General features: G+C 41.6%; 1 annotated feature.

Moving 5' to 3' along the window:
* Positions 1,858-2,058: a silencer, noted in NCBI's record as "peak2335 fragment used in MPRA reporter construct". NCBI's record gives its function as "represses an SCP1 promoter by STARR-seq MPRAs in K562 erythroleukemia cells {active_cell/tissue: K562}" and the evidence as "EXISTENCE:reporter gene assay evidence [ECO:0000049][PMID:32103011]".

The following is a 7,036-nucleotide window of genomic DNA, read 5'->3' on the forward strand; positions in this document are numbered from 1 at the left end:
TTTATCCTTGACCTTTGGGAGTTTGATTGTTAATGCTTTGGGGGTAGTCTAATTTGAGTTAAAGATGTTTTGTGTTCTATATCCTTCTTGTACTTGAATATTGATATCTTTCTCTAGTTTTGGAAAGTTGTCTGTTATTATCTCTACCCTAATTTTTCTCTCTACCTCCTCTATAAGGCCAATAATCCTTAGATTTGCCCCTTTGAGGCTATTTTTTTTCAGATCTTGTAGGCATGCTTCATTCTTTCTTCTTTTGTCTCCTCTGACTGTGTATTTTCAAATAGCCAGTCTTCAAGCTCACTAATTCTTTCTTCTGCTTGATCAGTTCTGCTGTTAAGATACTCTGTATGTCTTCAGTATCTCAGTTGCATTTTTCAGCTGCAGAAATTCAGCTTGATTTTTAAAAATTATTTCAATCTCTTTGTTGAATTTATCTAATAGGATTCTTAATTCCTTCTCTGAGTTATCTTAAATTTCATTGAGTTTCCTCATGATTTTTGAATGCTTTGTCTGAAAGATCACATCTCTCTGTCACTCCAGGATTGGTCACTGGTACCTTATTTAGTTTGTTTGGTAAGTTCATGTTTTCCTGGATGGTCTTGATGCTTGTGGATGTTCATCAGTGTTTAGACATTGAAGAGTTAGGTATTTATTATAGTCTTCACTGTCTGAGCTTGTTTGTACCCATCCTTCTTGGGAAGGCTTTCTAAGTATTCAAAAGGAATCGAGTATTATAATCTAAATATTTGGTCACTGGTGTTTAAATCCCTCAGATTCTGTTTGTCTGGGAAAGTCTTTATTATCTGTGTTATGGGGCACCCCAGGCCTGATAACATTGTGATTCTTGCACACTTATAGAGGTACCATCTTGGTGGTCTTGGGAAAGATCTGGGAGAATTCTCTGGATTACTAGGCAGAGACACTTTTTCTCTTCCTTTATTTTCCCCCAAACAGAGTATCTCTCTCTGTCCATGCTGGGCTACGTGGAGCTGGTTGAGGGGTGACACAAACACCCCTGTGGCCACCACCACTGGCCCTGCACTGTGTCAGAGCCAAAGCCAGCATAGCATTGAGTCTTGCCTGACCTGCAGAGACCACTGCCTGGCTACTGCTGATGTTCACTGAAGGCCCAAGGGCTCTTTAGTCAGCAGGTGGTAAATCCAGCCAGGCTTGTATCCTGTTCATGGCAGCGAGCTCCCACCTCTGGCCCAGGGCAGGTTCATAAATGCCATCTGGGAGCCAGAGCTTGGAGTTCAGAACCTTAGGATTCTACTTGGTACTCTATTCTACTGTAGTTATGCTGGCATCCAAGCTGCAAGATAAAGTCCTTTCCACTCTTCCTTCTCCTTTTCTTATGCAGGAGTGTCTTCTCATGGCCACCATTGCCCCAGGGCCACTGCGAGTACTGCCTGGTTAGTGCCAGTGTTCACTCAAGGCTCACATGCTCTTCAGTCAGCTTGTGGTGAATGCTGCCAGGTCTGGGTCTCTCCCTTCAGGGCAGTGGGCTCACCTCTGGCTGAGGGTGGATCCAGAAATGCCATCCAGAAGCCAAGGCCTGGAATTGGGAACCCCAGGAGCCTGCTTAGTGCTGTATGCTACTGCGGCTGAGCTGATGCCTAAGCTCTATGACAACGTCCCCTTTACTCTTTCCTGTCCTTTCCTCAAGCAGAAGGAGCCTCTCCCTGTGGCCACCAAAGTTGGGAATATGCTGGGTCACATCTGAAGCCAGCAAAGCCCTGGGTCTCATCCAAGTACTGCTGATGTTTATTCAAGGCTCAGCAGCTCTTTAGTCATCAGGTGACGAATCCTGCTAGGACTGGGTCCTTTACTTCAAGGCAACAACAGTTTCTCTTCTGGCCTAGCGTATGTCTAGAAATGTCATCTGGGAGTTAGGGCCTGGAATGGAGGCCTCACGACTGCCTGGTGACCTCTTCTACTGTGGATTAGCTGGTATCCAAGTTGCAAGACAGTCCTCTTTAGTCTCCTCTCTCCTTTCCTCAAGCAAAAGGAAGAAGTCTCTCCTGGGCCTGTAAGCTACATTGTCTTGGAATGGGAAAAGGGTGATTTAAGCATTTCTTTGGCTGCCCCATCTAGTGTCTCACTGAGTTGTGTGTACCCCAAGTCCACTTGTTCTGAGCCCAGAACAGTACCAGGACTTGCCCAGGAATTGCAATCCTTGTGGCCTAGACTGACTTTCATGTTTATTTAGGACCCCGGAGTGCTTTAGCCTGTGGTGGGGGGGCTAGCTGGAACTCAGGTTCCAACCACTGGAATGGATGATTCCCCTCTGTCTAAGGCTGGCCTAAATGTTCCTTCATAGGTGCTGGCCAAATTCTGTCCTAGGTTTCTTTCCACTGTGACAGGGCAGTGCTGAGTTCCAATGCAAAGTCCCACAATCACTGCAGTCCCTCTCCCCAAAGCACACATATTCTCTCTCCATGCCACGTGGCCAGTGCTGGGGGGAGGGAGAGGGGTGATGTCAGCAATTCAAGACTGTCTGTCCTATCTTCTTCAGTGCTTCTTTCCTTTTTTTTTTTCTTTTTTTTAAATTATTATCATTATACTTTAAGTTTTAGGGTACATGTGCACATTGTGCAGGTTAGTTACATATGTATACATGTGCCATGCTGGTGCGCTGCACCCACCAACTTGTCATCTAGCATTAGGTATATCTCCCAGTGCTATCCCTCCCCCCGCCACCCGACAACAGTCCCCAGAGTGTGATGTTCCCCTTCCTGTGTCCATGTGTTCTCATTGTTCAATTCCCACCTACGAGTGAGAATATGTGGTGTTTGGTTTTTTGTTCTTGTGATAGTTTACTGAGAATGATGATTTCCAATTTCATCCATGTCCCTACAAAGGACATGAACTCATCGTTTTTTATGGCTGCATAGTATTCCATGGTGTATACGTGCCACATTTTCTTAATCCAGTCTATCACTGTTGGACATTTGGGTTGGTTCCAAGTCTTTGCTATTGTGAATAATGCTGCAATAAACATACGTGTGCATGTGTCTTTATAGCAGCATGATTTATAGTCCTTTGGGTATATACCCAGTAATGGGATGGCTGGGTCAAATGGTATTTCCAGTTCTAGATCCCTGAGGAATCGCCACACTGACTTCCACAATGGTTGAACTAGTTTACAGTCCCACCAACAGTGTAAAAGTGTTCCTATTTCTCCACATCCTCTCCAGCATCTGTTGTTTCCTGACTTTTTAATGATTGCCATTCTAACTGGTGTGAGATGGTATCTCATTGTGGTTTTGATTTGCATTTCTCTGATGGCCAGTGATGATGAGCATTTTTTCATGTGTTTTTTGGCTGCATAAATGTCTTCTTTTGAGAAGTGTCTGTTCACGTCCTTCGCCCACTTTTTGATGGGGTTGTTTGTTTTTTTCTTGTAAATTTGTTTGAGTTCTTTGTAGATTCTGGATATTAGCCCTTTGTCAGATGAGTAGGTTGTGAAAATTTTCTCCCATTTTGTAGGTTGCCTGTTCACTCTGATGTTAGTTTCTTTTGCTGTGCAGAAGCTCTTTAGTTTAATCAGATCCCATTTGTCAATTTTGTCTTTTGTTGCCATTGCTTTTGGTGTTTTAGACATGAAGTCCTTGCCCATGCCTATGTCCTGAATGGTAATGCCTAGGTTTTCTTCTAGGGTTTTTATGGTTTTAGGTCTAACGTTTAAGTCTTTAATCCATCTTGAATTGATTTTTGTATAAGGTGTAAGGAAGGGATCCAGTTTCAGCTTTCTACATATGGCTAGCCAGTTTTCCCAGCACCATTTAATAAATAGGGAATCCTTTCCCCATTGCTTGTTTTTCCCAGGTTTGTCAAAGATCAGATAGTTGTAGATATGCGGCGTTATTTCTGAGGGCTCTGTTCTGTTCCATTGATCTATATCTCTGTTTTGGTACCAGTACCGTGCTGTTTTGGTTACTGTAGCCTTGTAGTATAGTTTGAAGTCAGGTAGTGTGATGCCTCCAGCTTTGTTCTTTTGTCTTAGGATTGACTTGGTGATGCGGGCTCTTTTTTGGTTCCATATGAACTTTAAAGTAGTTTTTTCCAATTCTGTGAAGAAAGGCATTGGTAGCTTGATGGGCATGGCATTGAATCTGTAAATTACCTTGGGCAGTATGGCCATTTTCACAATATTGATTCTTCCTACCCATGAGCATGGAATGTTCTTCCATTTGTTTGTATCCTCTTTCATTTCCTTGAGCAGTGGTTTATAGTTCTCCTTGAAGAGGTCCTTCACATCCCTTGTAAGTTGGATTCCTAGGTATTTTATTCTCTTTGAAGCAATTGTGAATGGGAGTTCACTCATGATTTGGCTCTCTGTCTGTTATTGGTGTATAAGAATGCTTGTGATTTTTGCACATTGATTTTGTATCCTGAGACTTTGCTGAAGTTGCTTATCAGTTTAAGGAGATTTTGGGCTGAGACTATGGGGTTTTCTAGATATACAATCATGTCGTCTGCAAACAGGGACAATTTGACTTCCTCTTTTCCTAACTGAATACCCTTTATTTCCTTCTCCTGCCTAATTGCCCTGGCCAGAACTTCCAACACTATGTTGAATAGGAGTGGTGAGGTGAGAGAGGGCATCCCTGTCTTGTGCCAGTTTTCAAAGGGAATGCTTCCAGTTTTTGCCCATTCAGTATGATATTGGCTGTGGGTTTGTCATAGATAGCTCTTATTATTTTGAGATACGTCCCATCAATACCTAATTTATTGAGAGTTTTTAGCATGAAGGGTTGTTGAATTTTGTCAAAGGCTTTTTCTGCACCTATTGAGATAATCATGTGGTTTTTGTCTTTGGCTCTGTTTATATGCTGGATTACATTTATTGATTTGCGTATATTGAACCAGCCTTGCATCCCAGGGATGAAGCCCACTTGATCATGGTGGATAAGCTTTTTGATGTGCTGCTGGATTCGTTTTGCCAGTATTTTATTGAGGATTTTTGCATCAATGTTCATCAAGGATATTGTTCTAAAATTCTCTTTTTTTGTTGTGTCTCTGCCTGGCTTTGGTATCAGAATGATGCTGGCCTCATAAAATGAGTTAGGGAGGATTCCCTCTTTTTCTATTGATTGGAATATTTTCAGAAGGAATGGTACCAGTTCCTCCTTGTACCTCTGGTAGAATTCGGCTGTGAATCCATCTGGTCCTGGACTCTTTTTGGTTGGTAAGCTATTGATTATTGCCACAATTTCAGATCCTGTTATTGGTCTATTCAGAGATTCAATTTCTTCCTGGTTTAGTCTTGGGAGAGTGTATGTGTCGAGGAATTTATCCATTTCTTCTAGATTTTCTAGTTTATTTGCGTAGAGGTGTTTATAGTATTCTCTGATGGTAGTTTGTATTTCTGTGGGATCGGTGGTGATATCCCCTTTATCATTTTTTATTGCATCTATTTGATTTTTCTCTCTTTTTTTCTTTATTAGTCTTGCTAGCAGTCTATCAATTTTGTTGATCCTTTCAAAAAACCAGCTCCTGGATTCATTGATTTTTTGAAGGGTTTTTTGTGTCTCTATTTCCTTCAGTTCTGCTCTGATTTTAGTTATTTCTTGCCTTCTGCTAGCTTTGGAATGTGTTTGCTCTTGCTTTTCTAGTTCTTTTAATTGTGATGTTAGGGTGTAAATTTTGGATCTTTCCTGCTTTCTCTTGTGGGCATTTAGTGCTATAAATTTCCCTCTACACACTGCTTTGAATGTGTCCCAGAGATTCTGGTATGTTGTGTCTTTGTTCTCGTTGGTTTCAAAGAACATCTTTATTTCTGCCTTCATTTCGTTATGTGCCCAGTAGTCATTCAGGAGCAGGTTGTTCAGTTTCCATGTAGTTGAGCGGCTTTGAGTGAGATTCTTAATCCTGAGTTCTAGTTTGATTGCACTGTGGTCTGAGAGATAGTTTGTTATAATTTCTGTTCTTTTCCATTTGCTGAGGAGTGCTTTACTTCCAAGTATGTGGTCAATTTTGGAATAGGTGTGGTGTGGTGCTGAAAAAAATGTATATTCTGTTGATTTGGGGTGGAGAGTTCTGTAGATGTCTATTAGGTCCCCTTGGTGCAGAGCTGAGTTCAATTCCTGGGTATCCTTGTTGACTTTCTGTCTCGTTGATCTGTCTAATGTTGACAGTGGGGTGTTAAAGTCTCCCATTATTAATGTGTGGGAGTCTAAGTCTCTTTGTAGATCACTCAGGACTTGCTTTATGAATCTTGGTGCTCCTGTATTGGGTGCATATATATTTAGGATAGTTAGCTCTTCTTGTTGAATTGATCCCTTTACCATTATGTAATGGCCTTCTTGTCTCTTTTGATCTTTGTTGGTTTAAAGTCTGTTTTATCAGAGACTAGGATTGCAACCCCTGCCTTTTTTTGTTTTCCATTTGCTTGGTAGATCTTCCTCCATCCTTTTATTTTGAGCCTATGTGTGTCTCTGCACGTGAGATGGGTATCCTGAATACAGGACACTGTTGGGTCTTGACTCTTTATCCAATTTGCCAGTCTGTGTCTTTTAATTGGAGCATTTAGTCCATTTACATTTAAAGTTAATATTGTTATGTGTGAATTTGATCCTGTCATTATGATGTTAGCTGGTTATTTTGCTCGTTAGTTGATGCAGTTTCTTCCTAGTCTCGATGGTCTTTACATTTTGGCATGATTTTGCAGCGGCTGGTACTGGTTGTTCCTTTCCATGTTTAGCGCTTCCTTCAGGAGCTCTTTTAGGGCAGGCCTGGTGGTGACAAAATCTCTCAGCATTTGCTTGTCTGTAAAGTATTTTATTTCTCCTTCGCTTATGAAGTTTAGTTTGGCTGGATATGAAATTCTGGGTTGAAAATTCTTTTCTTTAAGAATGTTGAATATTGGCCCCCACTCTCTTCTGGCTTGTAGAGTTTCTGCCGAGAGATCAGCTGTTAGTCTGATGGGCTTCCCTTTGAGGGTAACCCGACCTTTCTCTCTGGCTGCCCTTAACATTTTTTCCTTCATTTCAACTTTGGTGAATCTGACAATTATGTGTCTTGGAGTTGCTCT

Source organism: Homo sapiens, chromosome 15 (genome assembly GCF_000001405.40).
Source record: "Homo sapiens chromosome 15, GRCh38.p14 Primary Assembly".
Taxonomy (NCBI): Eukaryota; Metazoa; Chordata; class Mammalia; order Primates; family Hominidae; genus Homo; species Homo sapiens.